General features: G+C 42.5%; 1 long non-coding RNA gene across 14 annotated transcripts in view, besides 2 other annotated features; it reads left to right on the top strand.

Annotated features, from left to right (window-relative positions):
* The first annotated feature begins 8711 nt into the window (after positions 1 to 8711).
* LOC107986777 (uncharacterized) overlaps positions 8712 to 25214 on the top strand; it is a 303857-nt gene continuing 287354 nt past the window's right edge. For all 14 annotated transcript variants that reach the window (XR_001745132.2, XR_007060256.1, XR_007060257.1 and 11 more), the window contains exon 1: positions 8712 to 8791. This is a non-coding gene — a long non-coding RNA (uncharacterized LOC107986777). The remainder of the gene's footprint in view (positions 8792 to 25214) is intronic.
* Positions 18469 to 19006: an enhancer, noted in NCBI's record as "OCT4-NANOG-H3K27ac hESC enhancer chr7:24474463-24475000 (GRCh37/hg19 assembly coordinates)". NCBI's record gives its function as "activates a minimal SCP1, AML or CMV promoter by ChIP-STARR-seq in primed H9 embryonic stem cells {active_cell/tissue: H9 hESC(primed)}" and the evidence as "EXISTENCE:reporter gene assay evidence [ECO:0000049][PMID:30033119]".
* Positions 20381 to 20939: an enhancer, noted in NCBI's record as "H3K27ac-H3K4me1 hESC enhancer chr7:24472530-24473088 (GRCh37/hg19 assembly coordinates)". NCBI's record gives its function as "activates a minimal SCP1, AML or CMV promoter by ChIP-STARR-seq in primed H9 embryonic stem cells {active_cell/tissue: H9 hESC(primed)}" and the evidence as "EXISTENCE:reporter gene assay evidence [ECO:0000049][PMID:30033119]".

Raw genomic sequence — 25214 nt, 5'->3', positions numbered from 1 at the left:
ATGGAACATAGGCCATATAGGGGAATCGAGCCTCCGAGTTTCGGGTTGAATGAAGGTTGCCAGAGGGAGGTTGTCAGGGGGAGGATATTAAGTGAAAATGTTCCATAAACTGCATGCCTTTTGCAAGTGGTTGCAGTTCTCCTGCTCAGCCCTTCACCACTGGACTGTATATAGGGCACGTCTGTCCATCCTGCTGCCAATGGGCTCTGTCTTCTGTATGTAAGCCTCGGTGAAACGCCATGTCTTGTTTGCTGGCTCTGGGTCTCTTCTTTGGCCTCTTGAACCTGGTGCCATCCCCATGGGAGCTGATAGGGGTTCTGCACAACATAGATTCTTACAAACTGTGACTTCAAATGAAACGGCATATAGCAAAACCAGTTTTACCATAGGTTAATTGATAAAAACGAGAATTAAAAACATCACCAAACTTCTAAAGACGCCAACACTTCTAACATAATCCATGTGAGCTATACATACATTTAAGAAAGATTAGTTTTTAAAGGTAAAAATTATTTGCCCATTTTTGTTGAATTAGTAAGTGATGGTGGTCATAGTGGTGGTGAGTTAAATCAGGAAATAAATATTTGCAAAGCAAAAATCGTAAGAGTACCTCCTGCCACCACAAAGTTCAAAAAAAATCACCAATCGGTTGTCCTTTTTGAGCACTTTTGTACACATCATTTATTGTTGGGCATCTGTATGATTGTCATCTCCTTTATTAATTTTTATTTGACCATAGTTTATATTCATTCACTCATTCCTTTTCCAACCTGCTTATTCCAGTTCAGGATTGCGGGATGCCAGAGCTTATCTGGGTAGCTGACGGTGGGAACCAATCCTGGACTAGATACCAACCCATAGCAGGGCCACTCACACGCTTACTCTCTCATGTTGGTACCATGTATACATGTCAATGAACCTAACACGCACATATAGTAGAAAACTGGAGCACCTGGAGAAAACCCACACAGACATGGGGAGAACGTGTGGGGATGCTATGTCTTTTTTATTTGCCGCGTAAATTGCCCAGGATATTGAATGTGTAACAGGTTATTTAGTGATTGGGTGCCTAATAGGCACTTTAAACTTATCCACAGATCACCTGGTATCTTCTGCTGAATCTGTCCTTCCCCCATCTTCACTAACTCAGTAGAAGGCGTTACCTTTAACCATTCGCTTAACTTCCCATCTATAAAGTGGTTCTGGCATCTTCACTTCAGTTTTAGACTATAACTAAATACAATAGGCTGAGTGGCTAAGAAACAACAAAAATTTATTTCTCACAGTTTTGGAAGCTGGAAGTCCAAGATCACCGTGTCAGTGTGGTCACTTCCAGTGAGAGTCTTCTTCTTGTATCCTTATGTGGTGGGAAGAGAACTGGGATTTCTGGGGTCCCTTTTATGAGGGCACTAATTCCATTCCTGAGGTCTCTACTCTCCTGACCTAATTACCTCTCAAAGGCTCCACCTTCTAATACCATCACATTGGGGGTTAGGATTTCAATATACAGATTTTGAGGAGATACAAACATTCAGTCCATAACAGCTTTCTTATACCTCTGACCCTTCCTCGTATCAGCTATGCTTCTCGAATTTGTTCTGAATCCACCCACTTCTTTTTGTCTGTGCTGTAACCCCATTAGTCCATGCCAAATGCATCTGGACTGATACAGTTTTCCTTCCAACAGTTCTTCTTGCATTCACTCCTGCTTCTTATAATCTGTTTTCAGGTGAATGAATGAACATATATTTAATTATATAAAATACAGGTATTCTCTTATTGATCTGTTGTGTAATAGGCAGTGTAAATGACACATATTCTTCAATGCATTTTCAAACACTACTAAATTGTTTTGGGATGAAATGTATTAATTTCTACAAGCGAGTGACTGCTTACTTTCAGCAAGTGCTCCGCCTTGATTGTGAGAGGATTCCACAAAGTGCAATGTGGTGACAGGTGCAGAGAAACTGACAGTGGGGGACAGGATGGGAGCTGGGGGCAAGCCCAGGGAGGGGACTAGGAAAAGTCCAGAACAAGGAGGACAATGACGTAGTCAGGCAGCTAATGACCACCAACGGTCAGGTGTGCTTAGTGTGCAAAGCCCAGCAAAGGTTGATGCAGGAATGGGTGGTGGTTTCAGGAACAGCTGTCCATGAATGGCAGGGTCTAGGCCATTTAGTAGGTTGTAGGTAGAACTCTGGTTCAGGGAGAACAAGACAAAGCAAGACAGATGAACCCCCAAACTTGTAGGAAGTGGAGTGAGGCACAGGTTATTAAAACGGGAACTCAGACTCAATGAGAAGGAGGTCTCTGTAACTAGAACTGATGCACAAGACGGAGCCTGGGTCTGGAGGTAAAAGTGGAAGTCCAGCCTTGTGCCCTGGGGTCCCCAGTCAAGCTGCATTGCAGACAGCATATATGACTAGAAGCAAAGGCTAGGTTAGAAGCCTTTCTGTCTTTCTGCCCGAGGTCTGCGTGAATCCTGGAGCAGTGTTCTCGAAGCTGTGACAGCAAAATGGGAACACCCGGAGAACCAGAAGAACATACCAAAGCCTGAGCCCCACACCTGGGGATTCTGATGTAAGTATCACAAACTGGGTGGCTTCCAGGATTTTAAAAGCCCCCAGGTGGGTCTAATGTACAGCCCAGGCTGAGAGCCTTGGCCCTAGAAACCGGAGCCGAACTGAAACACAGGTGGAGGGGTCAGTAGTGTCACTCGTGGTGGGGAGGGACACTGAGGGGTACCTGGAAACCAGGCAGAGTCTGATAAATCCTATTCCAAAACAAATGGCTTTCATTTTTTTTGACGTCGTTAGAAAATATATTTGTTTAATTTTACCTGGATTTTATTTCATTATTTACAAGACGATTTTTATTCTTCTTTCATTTGGTAGACTAAGAGACTCTTAAACCCAAGGTTACGGCTTGAGGACAATATATGGCACTAATTATTTTGCTGGAAGCAATATTGCTTAGTGATTTAAAAGGCAGGCCCTAGAGTCAGACAGACCTGGGTTAAGATCCCAGCTTGATCACTTGTTAAATCTGTAAATGAGAAACGAGATTAAAGGTAGCAACTGCCTATCCGATGAGGTCTTTGTAAGGATTAAATGAGCTTATATATGTAAAGTACACAGCCTGGTAACTATAATATAATATAATATAATACAATACTCATTTATCACCTCCACATAATAGTACTAATTTTCTTAGCTGAAATCTTTCTTTAAAGTTTATGATTTTCATTTTTTTTAGTCTCACACTATCATATAGGTAACTTAATATACACTTCCACAACATTTACACTCTATAGTTTTGAATTAATTAGGTGCTTTTGATTGCAAACAACAGAAACCAGTTTTGATTTCCTTAAGTGGGGTGGGGCAAATGGTTGGGGAAGATATATGGGACACAATAACTACCAAGTCATGATAAAGCCAGGAACCATTCAGAGCCGCTCCAAATGGGAAGACAAATCTAAATCAGATGCAAAGTTTTCTAGCCCTATTGTCTCTCCTCCAAATTTCACATCTTTATAATTTGTTTGAGCCATCTGCAGACCAATCTAAAGGGAAAAAGACACTGGATGACGCATTAGTTTTCTATTGCTACATGACAAATTACCACAAATTTAGCAGTGAAAAGATACGCATTTATTATCAGCTCATCCTATGGGTGGGGAATCTGGGTATGGCTTCACTGGGTTCCCCACTCAGGTCTCAGCAGGCTGACTTCTTGTCTGGAGGTGCTCAATCCATTTTCAAGCCCATTCAGAACTCTGGTTGTCAGCAGAGGTCATTCAACTCCTTGTGGTTATAGGACAGAGGTCCCATTTTCTTGCTGACTGTTAGCTGGGGGTTGCTCTGAGCTCTTTGAGACCACTCTCAGGTCCTAACCATGTGGCTCTCCCACAGCATGGCCATGTGCTTCCTCAAAGCCATCAGGAAAAAGCTCTTAATCAGGCCCTTCCTCAAAACCATCACTTAAAGCTCTCTCCAGCCTGCTGCGATGGAGTCTTCTGTAATATCATGGAATCCCAGAAGTGACTAACCCTCTTTGGGAGGCCAAGGCAGGCGGATCACTTAAGGTCAGGAGTTTGAGACCAGCCTGGCCAACATGGTGAAACCCCATCTCTACTAAAAATACAAAAAAAATGTAGCTGGGTTTGGTGGTGTGCCTGTAATCCCAGTCACTCATGAGGCTGAGGCACGAGAATCGCTTGAACCTGGGAGGTGGAGCCAGGTGGCGCCAACTGCACTCCAGCCTGGGTGACAGAGCAAGACTCCCTCTCAAAAGAAAAAAAAAAGGAGAGAAAGAAGAAAAAAGAAGTGACTAACCCGTCATATTTGCAGGTGCTGCTTACACTTGAGGAGAGGGGATTATTTGGGACATGTACACCAGAAGGTGGGGATCTTGGAGGACAGTACTGAGTTGAATAGTGTCACCCCTAAATTCATGTCCACGTGGGACGTGTGAAAGTGACTTTGTTTGGGAATAGGATTTTTGTGGATGTGATTGAGTTAAGATGAGGTCATACTGGATTGGGGGTGTCTTTACAAGAAGGGGAAATTTGGGCAGAGAGAGACGCAGGGAAGAAGGCCGTGTGAAGACGGAGGCAGAGATGGGCTGCTGCCATGAGCCATGGAACACCAAGAATGCTGGCAACCCCTGGAAACTAAAAGAAGCAAGGTGGGATTCTCCTTAGAGCATCTGGAGGGAGCACAGCCCCACTGATGTCTTGATTTCAGATTTCTAGCCTCCAGAACTGTGAGAGAAGAAATTTCTGTTGTTGAAGCCGCTCAGTTTGTGATATGTTGTTACAGCAGCCCTAGGACAGGAAAACAGGGCCCACCTAGAATTCCACCCAATCCAGGTGATTTATGAGAATGAAGCCAAGGGGCACGGAAGCAGCGATTCCTCTGAAAGGGAGGCCCAGGGCAGACAATCTCTTGGTGATCTCGACAGATCATACGGTAGATCCCTACCACTTTTCAAATTTTGGTTTGCATGATTTTAATTTTTCTTCCTCTTCCTTTTCTTCTTTTCTTTTTTTCTTGAGACAGAGTCTCGCTCTATTGCCCAGGCTAGAGTGCAGTGGCATGATCTCCGCTCACTGCAACCTCCGCCTTGTGGGTTCAAGCAATTATTAACCCTCAGTGTACCAAGTACTTGGGAATACAGGCATGCCCCACCGTGCCGGGCTAAATTTTTTTTGGTATTTTTAGTAAAGATGGGGTTTCACCATGTTGGCCAGGCTGGTCTCAAACTCCTTACCTCAGGTGATCCACCTGCCTCAGCCTCCCAAAGTGCTGGGATTACAGGTGTGAGCCACCACACCCGGCCTCTTCTTTTTTATTTCAGAAAAAAAAAATCATATTTACTTAAGAGTTGTAAGAATAGCACATTGGACTCCTGCCTACCCTTCACAAAGATTTATCAACTGTTATTATTTTGCATGGTTTTCTGTTCAGAAACCATGGAAAGGATAAAGGCATTGAGTCAGAAAGACATGAATTGAATATCCACTATCACTGGTTTTGTGATTTTAGAAATGTTATTTTCAAACACCTTGAGCTTTTGTTTAATCACGTGATGCCCTTTCACAGAGCTGGCTGAGAGCACATAAGGCAGGCCCGGAAGGCACCCAGCAGAGAGACTGGCACACGTGGGTGCCTCATACATGTGTGATTTTCAATGCTTTACACTGATTTTCCCGACTTCTTTTTTTTTTTTTTTTTTTTTAAGACAAGGCCTCACTTAGTCTCCCAGGCTGGAGTGCAGTGGTACAATCACAGCTCACTACAGCCCTGACTTCTCCCGCTCAGGTAATCCTTGCACCTCAGCCTCCTATGTGGTTCGGATCACAGGCATGCACCACTAAACCTGGCTATGTTTTGTATTTTTTGGTAGAAACGGGCTTTCTCCATGTTGCTCAGACTGGTCTCAAACTCTTGAGCTCAGGCAATCTGCTCCTCTTGGTTTCCCAAAGGGCTGGGATTACAGGCATGAGCCAGTGCACCTGGCCAGTTTTCCTGATGTTTTAAACAAAAATTTCTTTACCTACTTCATTTGATAAGGACATCTCCTCAGGATTCCTTTTTCTCTGTCTATCCCAAGTGTCTCCAGGCCTCAGTCACCCCTGGAGGATAAATGGGACAGACCAGTACACACTCAGACCGACCTTTTGCTGGCCCAGTGCCTCTGCTTGCTCTCACAGCATCTCCAGTCCACCTGACAACAACTGGGTGTTCCCAGAAGGTGTTCCTCATGTGTACTATTGCGCTGGTGACCATGTGATGCTGCTGAACCTCACTACTCTTCTTCCCATCCCCCAGGCATGGCCGTCCTCTCTGCCTGTTGCCACTATACTTGGCTGGTCACTCCACAGTGTCCCACCAGCCACAGTGAATGTGCCATTGCTTTGGATTGCTTTGCTGAACACAAGTGTCCACTCTGACAGTGGCCAAGTGCCAAGGTCACACAGCGACCTTCAGGAATGTGGGGGACCCCCTGACAATGGGGCATCTGTGCCTAATGCCCCTGACAGTTTAGAGAAGCAGCTCTTTTTGTTTCTACTCACAGCTTTCTTCTCTGCAGATGCAGACATGGGTCTGAAGGTGAGGCTGGGTAGATCTGGTATAGTTATTGTCTTGTTATTAGGAGTCCCCACCCCACTTCAGTGGCTACTTAAAGGTCAAAGTACCTAGTGTCTTCTTTCCTAGGTTGAGTTTTCTCTAAATAGGCTCTTCACACCTCTCCTTACCCCAGGATCCCATTATCCCCTTCACCTGGCCTTGAGAAGTGCCAGATGTTTCTGCATGCCAGCAATAAACAGAACTAGTGTGTTCTCCGGAGGCTCCTTAGCAGCCACATCAACAGGCCTGTGAGGCTTCCCTATCCCCCTAGATCAATGAATGTGTCTGGAAGGGTCTGGACCCTACAGAGAACAGAAGGCTCAAGCCAAGATCTTTCATATCTATATCAAAGCATCTTTGAATTCCTTCCCTTCTCTTCATTTCCCCTTTTCTCTTTTTCTTTCTTTCTATATCTTTATCAAAATTTTAATTCAAAGGGTACATCTTTTTGAGTTTTCTTTCTTTTTAACCAAAGAAGAATGTCAGAATGATCGTAAGAAAAATAAAGTCGGCAGTAACACACAAAAAATCAACTGAGCAATCTATTTAGTTTAATTTATCATCTCAGTACTGATTAAAAATATTATGGTTGAAGAGAAACAAGTAGAGAAATTTTTCTTTCACGTAGTTAAAAATTTTTAGTGGCATAGGTGTTCCATCTATCATTTGAAATGCCCACACGGGGAATATTCAAAATCTAAAACTCCAACAGCAATGTAACTTAGTACTTAAAAAGAACTGTGTGTCAGAATACAGCATTATTGCCAGAGGGATATTCCAAGCAGATAAAAGTCAGGGTAAAGATAAAACAACCATTTCAATTGAACAAACGTGGAAAGATTTTAGTTCAATAGCTGTTTGTTGAGTAGCCTTCCCTGGGTTAGCTGCTAGGTTCTAGTATTGAAGAGTCAGAAATACTTAGGCTTCTTTTTTTTTTTTTTTTTTTTTTTTAATATTTTAGGCCAGGTGCAGTGGCTCACACCTGTAATCCCAGCACTTCGGGAGGCTGAGGCGGGTGGATCACCTGAGGTCAGGAGATCGAGATCAGCCTGGCCAACATGGCAAAACCCCGTCTCTACTAAAATACAAAATTAGCTGGGCATGGTGGTGCACACCTGTAATCCCAGCTACTTGGGAGGTTGAGGCAGGAGAATCACTGGAACTCAGGAGGCAGAGGTTGCAGTGAGCCAAGATTGTGCCACTGCACTCCAGCCTGGGTGACAGAGCGAGACTCCGTCTCAAACAACAACAACCAAAAAATGAATACGGAGAGAAAAGAAAATGCAATACTTCCAATTCAGTAGTGAATTTTTTTTTGTTTTGTTTTTTTTGCTGTTTTGTTTTTGAGACAGAGTCTCACTCTGTCACCCAGGCTGGAGTGCAGTAGCACAATCTTAGCTCACTGCAACCTCCACCTCCTGGTTTCAAGCCGCTTCTCCTGCTTCAGCCTCCTGAGTAGCCAGGATTACAGGCACGTGCCACCACACCCAGCTGATTTTTTTTTTTTTTTGTATTTTTAGTAGAGACGGAGTTTTGCCATGATGGGCAGGCTGGTCTCGAACTCCTGACCTCAAGTGATCCACCTGCCTTGGCCTCCCAAAGTGCTGGGACTGCAGGTGTGAGCCACCGCACCTGGCCTAGTGAAATATTTTGTACCAATTACAGGATAATCAGAAAACAGTGTTCCTCCTCCATGAGGGACCTTGTGAATTGTTTATATGGAAGAAAGGTACTCAAGTTGGCACTGTCTTAAAATATAATTTTATTGTATGTTGTACTATTATCAATGGCCAATTGGCTATATCTGTCAACTTTAGTCCATAAATTGAATAGTAGAATCTAGTTGCTGTTAAGTGAAGAATGCTGTGCTGTCGTTCTGTAAAGTAGATTCCTTTCGCATACGGGATTTGACAGCAATAACAAGGGGCACGTGAATGCTCTTGTGAGCATGCTCAGTGGAAGGCTCATGGGAGTCTGATTAAAGCTGAGAAAAGTGGGGAAACAATGATTAACTCACACAGGCTGGGAATTAATTATCTCCAACCAACACATTCAGTATCAAAGTGAGCCGATCTCACTCACTGTCAGACACTGCAGAGTGAGAAACAGATGATGGTTCTGTGGCAAACGTCCTTTTGCTGAATATTCTACCTACGGTGAGTGCAATGATTGAAAGATGAGTTCAAATACTGAGGCATTTATAGCATCCAGCTATTATTGTTGCTCCTCTGGTTCTTTCTGGGCTCAATGGACGTCTCTGATTTCAACAATTCCCTTTAACAATGTATAACAGACGATGTAATCTGAAGTTCTGTGGAACCATCCCAGGAACACACGGAGATTCTTGAAAACACCCCAAATGTGGCTCTTTAATTATCCGGCAGCATGTTGTTTAGTAGCAGATGAAATACCAAAAATCTTTGGAAGGAGAAATGTTTTCAGGACTATAAGGCTAAATTGGAAATGGAAATGCAAATTTGTTATGTTTAGAGTAAGTTTCATGGCTGGGGCTTTTAAAAAAAATTTTAAATCAACCTCATATTTGCTCTCCCAAAAAGATGGAAAGTCTCCCTCTTTATTTAAGTGTCTTATCTTTTCTAGTGAAAATTAAAATAACTATCATTTTACTAATCATTTATTTTCCCATTTAAAATAACTTCATGTCTCTACCAGATACAGTTTTTCTTGTACAGAGTGCTAGAGTGAAAGTCAAATTCACAATCTTGTGATCCACCCTTCTGGGCATCTAGGGAGAAAAAATAAACAACCAACAACATATAAAAACATACTGTGACATTAAAATTGTATGACTACAGGGAGGGTGTTGTGGGGGGTTACCTATTTTCCTAGTCACCTGTGAAGTCCTGGCATGTTAGGGCAGCCAGTGAGGGATCTTCATAAGAGGCTCCAGTGGATCTTCAGAAGGAAAAAAAAAAAAACAAGATATATGGGAGCTGCCTTGTAGCCTTAGGACTGAGACTTGTCAATAAGAAGCACAGGGAAAAAGACTATCTTTTACCCTTCCTACAAGATCCAGTATGGACAGGGAATTTATTCTTGGGAGCAGAGTGAAGATATCTTGGGAGCAGAGATAACTCAGCCCCCAGAGGTGTAATATTGAGTGAAGCACTATGTTATCACTTTTGTGTTTCATCTACATAATCTCAGTGCCTAGCCCACTACCCAGCAACTAATAGGCATTCAAAAATATTTTTTGAGTTACTTTATATTTTCTTTTTACCAAACTTCTAGGTAACTTGCCCAACTTTAAAGATGCAAAGGATCTGTGAGAAGCAAATTATAGCTGTTATGCTAGAAGCATGTTAAGAAACAGAAAGTAGGGCTACAGAATTTGGGAGTTGTGCTAGTCAGGATACATTAAGCAATACTGTGGTAACAAAAAACCACTAAAATATTAGAGACTTAACATAATAAAAATTCGTTTCTAACTCGTGGAAAGTTCAATGTAGATGTTTCTGGTCATGTCCTCTCGGGTTGTTCTCTTCCAGGTGGTGACACAGGGATCCAGGTTGTTTCCAACTAGTACCTTTGTCATCCCCTGTGCCACAATTGTCCTCCACTCTATGCTTTCCAAACAGCCAACCAGGAAGTGAAAAGAAAATGTGGAGAAGGCATACCCACTTTTATATGTTTCTTCTTAGAAGTTATATATCGCTCCAGCGTGAGAGTTCCATTATTGAGAACTAGATATGAGGGGGCTGGAAAATGTAGTCTAGCTATGTACTGAGAGAGAAAAAGGAATTTGGTGAGTTTCTACCATGGTGTCATGACATGGTGAGAACCTGATAAATGTACCAGTGAGGAGAGTAAAAAGGTTGGGCTAATGGCTGGAGAAGCCGAGCTGGAGTGATAATGTCAATGTGGCAGCAATCATGAAGACCAAGGGAGAAGCAATCAAACAATAGCAGTAAATCAAGGAGACAGATCAAGGTGAGGGCAGTCACACTGAAGCATAGCAGAAGGCCAGCAGAAGTGAAGGCTGTGCTTTGGAGTGAAGGTCTGAGCCCATAGGCCTCCATGGAGAAGTACCTTGAGATGTTTCTAGGAAAAGGAAGTCGTTAGAGGGCCTGGGGATTAGGCAGGTCTCCTTGTGAGGGCCAGACACACAGACAACTCTCATAGGTAACTACTTATTGGCTGTAATCTCTGGGCCATAGAAAGGTGAATTTATTAGTTACAAGTCACATAAGAGCAAACATAACCATATGCATAGACATGCTAGTGTCTTTCATTGATTAAGCACTAACTGTGCTCAATATTAGAGAATATATATATATATTCTCTAATTTTTACAACAGTGCTACAATGTACTAATTTTCCTTAGTTTCCAGGAAGAAACTAAAGTTTAAAGAGATTAACTTGTTATCATTTTTGTGAGTGAAAAAGCTGGATTTGAACGTGGTGAATCTGACACTAGATCCCAAGCCACAGTGCAGTCACATCTATATTCATACTCTCTATTATATATGTGAATACATTTTTAAATTTATATTTTGTGACAGAGTGTATCAAGTAGCTATTGTTGCATAACAAACTGCTGCTAAATATAGCAACTTAAAAACAGCTCTTCATTATTTTTCACAAGTCTGTGGGATGGCTGAACAATTCTGCTGATGTGGGCTGGGTTTAGTTGATTTTGGCAAGTATCTCTCACACCCCTACAATCAGCTAACAGGTTGGCGGGGGGCTGCCCAGTCCGGGATGGCCTCAGCTGGGGTGGCCTGGCTCTTCTCCATGTGGTCTCTCATCCTCCAGCAGGCTAGCCCGGCTTTTTCTCATGGCAGTGGCAAAGTTTCAAGAGAGTGGGCGCACACTAAGCCTCTTGAGGACTAGGCATAGAACTGGCACACCACAACTTTTGCCACATTGGCCAAAGACAGTCATAAGACCAGCCCAGACTCAAGAGTGGGGAAATAGAATCCACATCTTGATGGGAGGAGCTGAAAGGTCACTTTGCAATGGGTTTGGATACAAGGAGGGGTAGAAAATGGGGTCATTTCAGTAATCAACCTACTGCATCTAACACCTTAGGTATTTTTCCCCTAAAAATAGGTAAGAGAACAGCATGTTTGCTTAAAATGTGGTTTTATTAATTAGTGCAATAGCACATGAGTCTTCCAAAATGTATATGTTGTCTAGTCCCTCTGGTCTAAAAAGGGCTGAAATGGACAACATGTTAAATGGATAAATACCTTTTTTATTTAGGGAGGCAGGGCACAAAAATACCCACTTCCAGGCACCAGATCCATCTAAATAGAAAATAGTCTTGTAGTTGATGATTTTTAAAAAGCAAAACAAAACTGAAAATTTGACTTCCTGTATGCCCTGCAAAGAAGGGCGGGCGGAGAAGCTGTGAATGTGTGAGGAGCAGCTGGCTTTTATTTTTAAACACATATTATTGCTACGCAGATTTTTTCTAGAAAAATGGAAGGAGACTTACTAAGGAATTCTAACACACAGGGATACCATTTCAAGTAGGTGCTAATGAGATTGACGTGGTCTTTTCAGAATAAACTCGTCTTTATAATCTATTCGTTTAGTCTATAAAGTGGGAAAAAGAAACACAAAATGCTGAATGAAATGTGGAAAATGCTAGAGATTCCTAATAGGCCCTCAAGAAATGTGTGGATTGTCAGAGCCAGGCTTCATTCACATAGACTTTTCCCTCAGGGAGTACAGTTTGGACATTCATAATTATGAGAATCTCCATGCCAGACTTCCGTAACACTAACATCCTTTGTTCAGAGGGAATTATCCAACACCATCAGTGCTAATTTCAGTGCCACAATATTATTCTTAGGTGAAAAGTTATGAATAAATTTAAAGTGTAACATGTAGAAAGCCAAGGGCAGGGCCAACCAAATGCTTCCTCTCCTCTTCTGAGCTCACTTATAGTAAATCTGGGAATGATATGGCAACTGACTCATAATTGAATTGTTTTATAGGTTTTATGGCCAACTTACAAAACTAATTTCTATAAACTTTCATCAGGGACGGTAAAAAATGTCTGCAGGAACCAGCGAGATAATATACTTGGCTAAGAAGGCAAGGTGTAAGTGGGTAGAGGTGATTGGGGGAATTATAGAATCCTCATTTAAAAGGAACTGATGAAAACTTAAACAAAAACACTGTGCAATCCAAAAAAAGCAAGTCTCTGAGTCAGATCTGACCTGACTGAGTCAATTCATGGCCTTTATGGTAGATCAACGTTAGATCAATAGAAAACTACATGCCTTTAATCATAACTCCTCTTGTACCAAATTAGCACAAGGATGAAATTAATTTTTCTTCTAATTTATTTTGTACCCTCTCCTTTAGAAAGTTAAAATAATATTACAAAATTATGTGCCAATCTCAAGAAGCACGTGTATATGTGATTATCACCTCTGAGATTTCACCTTGAGTGTTTTCTGGAATTGTCTACATGTATTAAGAAATGCAAAACTAGTATTTGGGGATAACAAAGATCCTAAACCCCATACTCTCTCTTGAAACATATATAAAATTTAGACCAAAGGGTTACTTTTTCTTGTATTACCCATGTGGGCTCTAAATAATATATTGTGAGACCTGAATGTAGCTGGGACTCAATGTGGCTTCACTTTTGTGCCATGTCAATGGAAAGAAACAGCAGAAAAGCAGAAATGAATATTTGTCTATATGATTTCATGCAAACAACTATATGTATCAATAAATTTCCTATTTTCTCTAATCAGAAAAATCACTGAAAACATGACTAGTCACTTTTGAATCATTCTCCACAGTGTTGCAGAGCATATCATCTTTCTTTGTAGAGAAATAGCATTGACAGCATGTGTTATGTCATCACTGGGAATGTCATCCCAAGGATTAAGTACCCATTTGTGAAATATTAGATCACTTGTTTTTATTTTTGTTTATCTTGTTTGTGTTTACACTTGATCTCTACAACAGAAGCACGTACTGTTTTGCTTTTGAAAGATCTTTAAAATAATTCTATCGATAATATCACCAATTACAACTGTGAGATGATATCCCACAAACAGACAAGTAAATCTGTATTAAATAGTTTTGCTCTTTTCTAACTGACCCCATCAGCTGATTCCAGAATCACCCAAAACTGGCATTGATTGAGATCAGTTCAGGCCAATGTCCCTTTCCCAACAGCACCAGCTGTTCAAAATAAAGTACAGTCAATGATAGAAAGCCTATAATATGAGAAACTTTGGAGGGATTTGATTATGATTCCTCTCTTTTAAAGGATACTTTTGAAAAAAAGAAAACATTGCAGTTTACAATAGGCACATATGATAATCAACTATTTCAATGGTATTCAGTGTTTTAGAAAAGACCAAAGGCATGGAAGTGGGGTTGCTGTTCTTAATGTCTAACAAAATATCTTAATCATCTTCTCTAATCTTCCACTATTTTCCACATAGGCAGAAGTTGCTACTTTGTAAATCAATTCCCCATTCCCAGTTCCCCACTATAGAATATTCCCCCCACATGCACCCAGCACAATGTCTTCCACTCAACAGTGCCTGACAATCTGGTTCTTCCTCTCCCATTCCTGCGTTTCCTTTACTTCCACATGTCTCCTCTATTTCCCCTTCACCCTCACTCCCACTCTAGAGCCTCCATTTGTGCTCCCTACAAAAAACTTTGGAAAGTATAGTCTGGCCTCTTACTCCAATTATTTTTCTTGGGAAAAAATTTGTCCATTTCCCAGATTCTGCACCAAAAACGAAAGTTCAGGTGCTGACAGCCACAAAGCAAAAACCCTTCCTGAAAGGCAGAAAGAAGATAGAAAGACTTCATATTCATTTATCCTTCTTATCCTTGCTCTGCTTCAACAGGCACTAGGCACATCTTTTCCTGTGTGCCATGCTGTGGGATTGCATAATCAGGACAAGGAAGCTACAAGCCCCTACAGGCCGTAAAAATGTAATGCTCATCAAACACAATGCTAAAGTCTTCTCATTTCCCAAACCACGTATTCTTCCATTTGATTTGCACATGCTTCTTTCAAGAACATTTTTGCTGAAATTTTTTGGCAGGAAAAGTTAATCTTATGCTCCAAAATGTAAGACAGGTAGTCAGTTGGTTGAAGCTTCACCTTGTGCTTACCAAGAGGTGGAAACAGTGAGATTCAGTGACTTTGCTAGATTTTAATTGGAATGAGAATAATATTTTTGAAGTAATCCAGGGAGTTTTCAGCCATAACCTGTTCTGGCAATCCACCTAAATTTAGTGACTTCAAAGAACCATGATTCCTGTGGGCCACAAATTTGGACAGGGCTTAGCTGAGTGATTCTTCTGCCATGCATAGCTTGGTCTGGGGGATGTCAGTGGAATTCCACTGGCTTCTGGGCTTCCTTAGACAATCTATGATAATTTCGCTCACAGGTCTTGTGCTGTGGTGGGGATGGCTGGAAGGCTGAGCTCCACCGCACCCTGCTTGTCTCCACATAATTTCAGGGCCTTTCCATATAGTCTTTCCAGGGTAATTGGACCTCTTACGTGGCAGGGTTCAGGGTTTTAAGAGTGAATGTTCCAAAAGACCAAAAAAAAAAAAAAAAAAAAAAATCTGCCATTCTCTGAACCAGAAATGGGCACATTGTTATTTCTAGTATATTCTATTGGTTAAAGCAGCCATTAACTCAACCAGGTTTAAGGTAAAGATGCAGAGAGCTACCATTTGAAGTCAAGAGTGTAAAAAAGAAATTGTGGTTATCTCTTACCCACTATACTGCCTTATCAAGATCTACACCTGGAAGACTAAGCTCATGTGGTTTCTTCCATAGCAGGGGCTGGCAAACTGGCCCACAGCACAAATCTAGCCTTCCACCTGTTTTTGCAAACAAAGCTTTATTGGAACCCTATTACACTTATTCATTCATGTATTGTCTATGGCTGTTTTCACACTGCAACAGCAGAGTTGAGTAGCTGCTACAGAGACCATGTGGACCACAAAGACTGAAATATTTACTATCTGGCCCCTCATAAAAAAAGTTTGCCAAACCCTGTTCTACAGCACACAGAGAACCCAGGTTATGACAAAGACAGTAGAAAACATACCCTTTCTGGCTAGGAGTGGTGGCTCAAGCCTGTAATCCCAGTACTTTTGGAGGCTGAGGTAGGCGGATCACCTGAGGTCAGGAGTTCAAGACCAGCCTGGCCAACATGGCAAAACCCCATCTCTACTAAAAGACACGAAAATTAGCCAGGCATGGTGTGGGGTGCCTGTAATCTCAGCTACTCAGGAGGCTAAGGCAGGGAGAATTGCTTGAACTGGGGAGATGGAGGTTACAGTGAGCCGAGATCATGCCACTGTACTCCACCCTGGGCAACAGAGTGAGACTCTGTCTCAAAAAAAAAAAAAAAAAAAAGAAAAGAAAACACACCCTTACACACCCTTTCCAGCCCTGGTAAACTGCAAGCAGAGAGAGGAGAAGCTCAGACATGTGTACTTGCTTGTGCCTTGTACGAGCAGGGTCCTCCAGGGGGTCCATAGTGAAAAAATTCAGCTGTTCAGGAATCTGAGGTCACTAAAGGTACAGGGCTAGTGGCATGCTCTTCTGGCTGTCCTGGAGATGGTGAAGGAGCTTTTAGGAGAAGTCCTGTGCTCAGGCACTGCCAATGTGGCAGGGCACAATACTGCAACAGGTGAGCTGGGGCAGCAGTTCTTATGTGGGGGTCAGAAGGCCCCACAAACTTTGGCAAACAGCACAGAGGTGAACAGTCCTTGGGAGCAAGCTTGGAAAGTTTATGACTGGGGCAAATGTCTGCAACCAGACAGACCCCTGTGGTCATCAGTTCAGAGACTAGACCAGAGGTCTCACTCACCAACAGAACAATAAGAGTCTGAAGCTCCCCGAAGGGATACAGGCCCTTGCACACACTTCATTACACTTGCCTACCCTCACCAAGAAGAGCATGTGGAGGAGAAAGTTGAGTCATCTAAGAAAGACAGCTTACACTGAAAGAGACTGCATTGCCATAAATTGTGGCGAATTCAAATTTTGTATCTGAATACCTTCTCCCAACTAGTCAATAAGGTAGGCCTGAAGAATGTCAGATTATTTATAGGGAATAGATAAACTATGTTTGTTTTACATACCTGAGTGATGAATATAAATTTTAGACCCTGTTACCATAAGATTATATGAGTTTCCTATATTCTATATTCTTTCAAGTTAAATCTACATTGTAAAGGTCTTAACATCATTGGTACAGAATGAACTCCCTTTTTGAGAGATGGAGGACATTCCTGTGGTAGATCGCAAAGAGAAGTTTATGAGCAGCTTGGCCTAGTTCCACTGGGGTTTGGATTGATAATGACCTTGGGCAATGCAGTGTAATATAATGTTGAAAGAAGCCACTAAGGCCAGGTTCCTACCAAGCAAATAACAGTGGAGTTAATTCAAATGACTCCCTAGCAAAGTGTCTGCCTCCACCAAACACCACTATCACTTTGCTTAACATGATAAAGGGTTCAGGGCACTTATTTGCAAATGAACTAATTCTGGCGGTTGGGAAACACTGTTGGAGGAGTAGTTTTTAGCTGGTGACTTCAAACATAGCTGTAGCAGTGTGATTTGTCTCTGGCATGGTTGGCAGGAACTGCTTAAAGACCTAGGGAAGGGGTATCCTGGATTTGAAAATAAGGGCAACCCTTCTCTAGGGAGTCAAATGGGTTCTTGCTAGGCATAGGAAAAGCCATCCAGGAAGACAGAGGTCTTAATGGACAAAGGGTCTACCTTGAGCCAAATTTCAAGGCAGGTTATTTATCGTTGTGTAATAAACCAGTCCCAAACTTAGTGGCTTAAAACAACACCAATTTTATTATCTCTCATGAGGCCATAGCTGATGGAGCTCAGCTGGGTGGTTCTTCTGCCCCATGTGATATCATCTGAAGCCACAGTCATCTGAGGATCATCTGGTTTTGGAAAATGCTGGTGGTGCTGAAGTCTCCATGGGGGTTGTTGATCAGAGCACCTAGATTCTCTTCAACACAGTCTCTCCATGTAGCTAGGGTCTCTGAAAGCATGGCAGCTGGGTTGCAAGAGGAAGGAAGTAGAAGTTCCCAGTTCTCTTATAGCCTGCACTTAGAAGTCTTAGAATTTCACACCTGACACATGTTGTTGGTCAAAGCGATCCCCTTATTTCTGCTTCAAGGGGAGCAGAAATAAGCCCTATCTTTTGACATGAGGAGTGGCATGGGCATACAGGGAGGGGCGAGATTGTTGTGGGCTATATTAGTAATTTTTCCAGAGAAACAGAACCAATAGGATAAGTTTCCAGTGCTCCAGAGAAACAAAACCAATATGGGAAGAAGAGAGAGAGCATTGTATTTAAGTAATTGGCTTACACAATTGTGGGGAGGCTAAGTCCAAAATTTGCAGAATAGACCAGCAGGCTGGAAACCCAGGGAAGAGTTGCAGTTCAAGCCTGTAGGCAATCTTCTGGCATATTTTCTTCTTTCTTGGGGAGGTCAGTCTTTTTCTGTTAAGGCCTTCAATGGATTGGATAAGTCACAGCTGTGTTATGAAGGGGCATGCTACTAAAAGTCCAGCAATTTAAATGTTAATCTCATTCGCAGAAAACACCCTCACAGAAACATCCAGAAAAATGTTTAGCCAAATATTGACACAAAATTAACCATGACAGGGGCCAAACTGCTATATTAGGCCAAGGCCTTTTCTGTCCACCCCCTTGTGATCACCCCTCTCCTCCCACGGCTGCCACTCCACATCTTCATTTTGCTTCTTTTTTTCCTTTTGGGCTTCAGGCTTTCACCTCCACCATTCTCTTTTCTGCCTCAGCCTCTGTTCTGGGCTCTCCCTTCTACTTTTATTTTCCATGGGCAGCACAGTTAATGAAATATTTTCCATCTTGGCTGGTGGGATGCCTCATTTGTGTGGCACCCAGGGAATGAAGTACTCTAAGAACGGTGGTGAGTGAGGCAGGAAGGACACCGGACTTGGAAACAGGCCACCCAGGGCTGCAGGAGGTACCTGCTGACTTCCCCTTTCAGACCCCACGCTTCCCTCCATTCATATGCAGATTGAGCATTCTTGAACTTTAGTCTATGTATCAACTGGAGAGGACCACAGGAGTGCAAGGCTTTCTCTTTCCTTCCAGGCACCATATGCGCTCTGCAACAGTGGCCATATGGAGACAGTGTTGTTTTTTTATTTGGCTTTGTTTTTAAAAAGCAGAAATTTCTGAGTTGATAGGAGAGAGTAGCACCTTGTCCAGGCAGTGGGAAAAGATGCATTTTTAACAGGTAAAACTTGGAGGGGGGCAGTCACATCTGTGGGTAGATAACTACCACCTGTATTTACGTGGAAGCATGAATTACCCTCTGAGCTTGAGGGAAAACATATCACAAAACTTGTATTTCACACTTTTCACCTGGTCTCTAGCTGTAGGATGAATGCAAAGCAAGTATATCTATGTCTGCAATATCTAAAAGCTTTTCCAATGTGCACATTTTACCTCAGAGAGGTCTCTTTGTTTGAATTTTTCTTTCTTCCTGAAATGATTATGAAAATACACTCACACACACACATACACGTGCACACAACTTCAATGGGTTGTTAAAAAGAAGAAACACTTTGAATTAACAATCAATAGACGAGTAAACATTATCTTAGGTATCCGAGTGAATAATAACATGTAAGGGAAAACCCAGAGTCAGAAAAACTGGGTTCATAAACACATATGAGCATCTCTACAAATCTGTGTGTAAATGCACAGAAAAAGTTCTGGAGGAGTAGCTACCCAGTATAATTGTGGTTATGTTGGAGAGGAATGGTATTAGGATGGTGAAGGGGGGGGCATTTCACTTTTTATTCTACATATTTTTGTGTTGTTCTAATATTTCATGCCAAAGCAAAGATGCATCTATTTCTTTACTTTTTAAAAATTGTGAAAGAGGGAATGTATTAATTTCTAGGGTTGCCATAGCAAAGTGCCACAAACTGGGTGGCTTAAACAACAGATATATAGTGTCTTACAGTTCTAGAGGCTAGAAGTGTCCAGGCTTGGTTCCTTGTGAGGGCTTTGAGAATCTGTTTCAAGCCTCTTGTCTAGCTTCTGATGATTTGCTAGCAATTTTGGCATTCCTTAGAGTATGGTAGATGCACCTGACAATGATAACTTGACTTAAGCTTACATTGAGAATGAGCCTACATGGCAGATGCGCCTGAATGTGTGTTTGGAGTTACAAAATCTAAGGAATCTAAGGAGCGGCCAAACCAGAGACTTATTCCTTATCCGTGAGGAACATTGGACTGTCCCCCAAGCCTGTCCCATGAAATGTAGGCTATGCAGGGGATTGAGGCTCTTTGTTTTGAGTTAAATGAAGGTTGCCAGGTACAGGTAGTTAGGGGGAGGGTGCTAAGGTAAAATGCTATGTAAACTGCATGCTTCTTACAAGCAGTGGCAGTTCTCCCGCCCAGCTCACCACCATGGAACCGCTCTGTATGTAAGTTTCCAGCTGATAAAACTCTGTGTCTCACGGGGTCTCGTTTGCTGGCTCTGGGTCTCTTCTTCAACTTCTTGAACCTGGTGCCATCCCTGTTGAGGTTAATATGGGTCCAGCACAGTATTTGGCTTATAGAAGCGTCACTCTGATTTCTGCCTGTCTCTTCACATGGCATTCTCCCTGTATGTGTCTGTGTCTAAAGTTTCCCTTCTTATGAGGAAACCAGTCATATTTTATTAGGGGTCAACCCTACTCTAGCCTGACCTCATTATCACCAATTATATCTGCAACAGTCCTGTTTCCAAATAGGGTCACATTCTGTGGTATTGAGGGTTAGGACTTCAACATATGGATTATTTGAGGGGACACAATTCAACTCATGCTAGAGCAGTGAAACAAAAATGAATGCCTTATATTACTTTTTTTTGTTGTTGTTGTTGACATGGAGTCTCGCTCTGTCGCCCAGGCTGGAGTGCAGTGGCACGATCTTGGCTCACTGCAAGCTCCGCCTCCCAGGTTCACGTCATTCTCCTGCCTCAGCCTCCCGAGTAGCTGGGACTACAGGCGCCCGCCACCACGCCCAGCTAATTTTTTGTATTTTTAGTAGAGACGGGGTTTCACCGTGTTAGCCAGGATGGTCTCGATCTCCTGACCTTGTGACCCGCCCACCTTGGACTCCAGCTGGCCAGCAGACAGCAAAGCCCGAACGGCCCCGCCCCCTCGCGGCGCCGTGCCCCCTCCCGCCCGCCTCCTGATTGGCCCGGCCTGAAGCTGGAGGAGGCCGCGCGCGGCAACTGCGCAGGATGCGCGCCCCTACCTGGCAGCCGGCGCCAGGCATCAGAACCCTGGTCTTCGCAAGCGCAGCCCCGCGGCACGTGGAGTGCAGTTTGCCGCCCTCCACAAACCTTGCACCTGTTCCCCTCTCCCTTTCCTTGGACCCGCGAGTCTTCTTGTAAATTAACAAGTGACAAGGGAGTGCAGTGCCTTGCATATAACAGGCGCATAGACAATGGCTTCTTTGTACAGCTCTTTTCGCTTAATCCATCTCTTGAAATATAAGTAGTTTTGAGAAGGTTCTGCTTTAGTTTGAGGCCTGCCTCTCCTTAACTGTCGGCCTGTTTCCAGTGTTGGCGTTTTCAAAAACTCTGATGTAACAATCAGTAGTCCTGGGTATCTGGGTTCACTTTGGGGGTTGCTAAAGCAACATGTTCTTCAAAGGAACCGAATAACTGATTTAAGGTGAAGCAAGTAAAAACAATTTAGGTAAAGTTTTTTTTTTTTTTAACTTTTGGAAACACTCTACAAAATATATTTAGAAGCTGAATTACCATGCGATTGGTAATTTGGCCATAATTTGACTTAGCACCTTGTGGAAAAGAATAGGAAATCGTCAGGCGAAGTCATTAAACTCTGAAGCTCCCAGGGGATCAGCTTTAGTGCCCTCTGTAAATTATCTGGGAGGGAGAATAGGCAAGCAATAAGAAAAATATTAAACTTCAGTACAGTACTTTAGTTTCAAAGTACTTTTCTACATATTTTAGGTCCAAAAAACATTATGTAAACAAATTGTTTGGGTACCACCCCCTTCCCTTCTCGGTGCCCTTTCAACAAACCCCACCCTCTCCCCAAATTCTTCCTCCTGTTCAGAGGCATTCTTGACAGTCAGATAAATGAATGATCCTGAAATCCGATTCAAATTTTAGGAGACTGATCTCAGCTCAGTATTCTCTCCTATCACACCTGTGGTTTGCTGCTGTCCATTTTACTTCTTCCCCCCGACACCGCCTAGATGTAGTCTTGCTCTGTCGCCAAAGCTGGAGTGCAGTGGCTGAATCTCGACTCACTGCAACCTCTGCCTTCTAGGTTCAAGCAATTCTCCTGCCTCAGCCTCCTGAGTAGCTGGGATTACAGGCATGAGCCACCACACCCGGCTATTTTTTTTTTTTTAGTAGAGACAGGGTTTCACCATGTTGGCCAGGCTGGTCTCAATCTCCTGACCTCGTGATTTGCCCGCCTCGGCCTCCCAAAGTGCTGGGATTACAGGCGTGAGCCACCGCGTCCGGCCCCATTGTACCTCCATGAGAGCCTAGTCTTGCTTTTAGGCAGCAACTAAACTAACAACTAATTTTTGTATTTTTTTTTTTTTGAGATGGAGTCTCACTCTGTCTTCCAGGCTGGAGTGCAGTGACGCCATCTTGGCTCACTGCAATCTCTGCCTCCTGGGTTCAAGCAATTCTCTGCCTCAGCCTCCTGAGTAGCTGGGATTACAGGCACCCACCACCACTCCTGGCTATTTTTTTTTTTTTTTTGTATTTTTAGTAGAGATGGGGTTTCACTATCTTGGCCAGGCTGGTCTTGAACTCCTGGCTTCGTGATCCACCCACCTCAGCTTCTCAAAGTGCTGGGATTACAGGCTTGAGCCACTGTGCCTGGCCTAATTTTGGTATTTTTAGTAGAGATGAGATTTCACCATATTGTCCAGGCTGGTCTCGAACTTCTGGCCTCAAGTGATCCTCCTGCCTGGGTCTCCCAAAGTATGAGGATTAAAAGCGTGAGTCACCGTGCCCAGCCCTTATTTATTTATTTATTTATTTTGAGACAGAGTCTTGCTCCATCACCCAGTCTAGAGTGCACTGGCATGATCTCAGCTCACTGCAACCTCTGCCTCCCTGGTTCAAATGATTCTCCTGCCTCAGCCTCCTGAGTAGCTGGGGATTACAGATGTCTGACAGCATGCCCAGCTAATTTTTTGTATTTTTAGTAGAAATGGAGTTTCACCATGTTGGCCAGGCTGGTCTGGAACTCCTGACCTCGGGTGATCCAACTGCCTCAGCCTCCCAGAGTGTTGGTATTACAGGCATGAGCCACGGTGCCCAGCCATATATATATATATATATATTTATATATACATTTATATATATATTTATATATACATTTATATATATTTATATATATATTTATATATACATTTATATATACATTTATATATATTTATATATACATTTATATATATTTATATATACATTTATATATACATTTATGTATATATTTATATATACATTTATATATTTATATATTTAATATATAAATATTTATACATATATAATATATAAATATTAAATATATAAATATTTAATATTTATAAATATTTATATAATTTTATATATGTATATTTTAAGAGACAGGGTCTCATTCTGTTGCCCAGGCTGGTGTGTTATGGCACTATTATAGCTCACTGCAGCCTTGAACTCCTGGCCAAAAGCCATCCTTCTGCCCCAGTCTCCCAAAGTGTTGGAATTACAGGCATGAGCCACCATGCCCGGCCTATTCGGAGACTTTAATTTCTTTTTCTTTTTCTTTCTTTTTTTGAGACAGAGTCTCGCTCTGTCGCCCAGGCTGGAGTGCAGTGGCACGATCTCAGCTCACTGCAAGCTCCGCCTCCCAGGTTCACGCCATTCTCCTGCCTCAGCCTCCCAAGCAGCTGGGACTACAGGCGCCCGCCACCACGCCCAGCTAATTTTTTGTATTTTTAGTAGAGACGGGGTTTCACTGTGTTAGCCAGGATGGTCTCGATCTCCTGACCTCGTGATCTGCCCACCTCGGCCTCCCAAAGTGCTGGGATTACAGGTGTGAGCCAGTGCGCCCGGCCTTATATTACTTTTAATTAAAAACAATCTTGGAAAGAGTTGTAGGCAGCCCCCTGCTGTGCATGAGCTCTGGCAGGACCGTGGAGTGGTCATTATCTTCTCTAAGCTTCAGTTCTGCATCTATAAAATGGGGCCAGGAATATCTGCCTGGAGTTATGGTGAGGATCAAATGATAAAATGCATACAAAAGAGCCTTATCCTGTGCAAATAGCTATGTGAAGGTAAGCTTCTGGAGGTTTGAACAGGGGAGGAGCTGAGCTCCTTGCACCCTGTGATTGAAGATGAAATGTCCAGTCTCGGGAAGCAATCATCTAGAACAGTCAGGAGATGCAGACCTGTGCCAAGACCTTGTGATCAAGAGGTGACAGATGTCACATCCAGCTTTACCTCAAAACCATAAGGTGCTGTCATAAGTTGAACCTGTGGGAAGGGATAACAGGCTAAAGTTTGCATATTTTAAGGCTTTAATTCAGTGCACAGAATGACAATTTTCATTTAAACAGATCTTAAGTATTTTCTGAGCTTCAAAGCATGGTCAAGGGGAAGCACAAAAGTCAAGAGAAAATAGGTTTATGACCTTGGCTTGGAGGAATAGTTCTTACCCTTATCTGGATCACAAATTCTTTGAAGAAACTGATTTTTAAGAATGAAACAAACAAGCAGATAAAAAATCATGGCCGCTTATCTCAGAGAAAGTCATCTAGACAATTTTCCATTATTTCAGGGAGCTCACAAATTTCAGGTTCAGAATGTCTGATATGAATAAAAGGTCTTAAGGTAGAAGGCACTTGAATACTAAAAAAAAAACCCAGTCTTAAGAAAGGAAACATATACCTAATGCTAAATGACAAGTTTATGGGTGCAGCACACCAACATGGCACGTGTATACATATGTAACAAACCTGCACATTGTGCACATGTACCCTAAAACTTATAATAATAATAATAATAATAATAATAATAATAATAATGAAAGGAAACAGTTTAGAAGGAGCTAGATTCTTTCTAGTTCAAGAATAAAAAAGAAATCATCCTCATTCTCAGTAGCAGAGAATTGCAAGTGCTTTCTCTTCATTCCACCATTTAATAAACCCTTGGGTTCATGGCGTCCTGGAGCACTGAGCTTTTTGTCCTTGAATGGAGGTGATCTGAGAAATCCTCCACCTGATGACTGGCAGTTAACTCCCAATGATAGGCACTGATGGCGAAACAGTGACAGTCTCTTTGACCTTTGTCTTAGGGAAGAGGTGCCTTGCAGGGTAACAGCAGCTTTTTTGAGTTTCAGACGTTTTATTTCTGCAGATCTGGGAGAATATCTGACAACATGAGAATGTGGCTTCCTGCAAGGAAGCCTGAAGAGCCCCCAGTGCACAGAGTTGCACCATTGAAGGGGAAGAGAGGAATGCTTATAAGTAGGGGGTATCTGAGATAGGAAACTCA

Source organism: Homo sapiens, chromosome 7 (assembly GCF_000001405.40).
Source record: "Homo sapiens chromosome 7, GRCh38.p14 Primary Assembly".
In the NCBI taxonomy this organism is placed as follows: domain Eukaryota; kingdom Metazoa; phylum Chordata; class Mammalia; order Primates; family Hominidae; genus Homo; species Homo sapiens.
The sequence above is the reverse complement of the archived record's forward strand: the minus strand, read 5'-3'. Positions and strand labels throughout refer to the sequence as shown.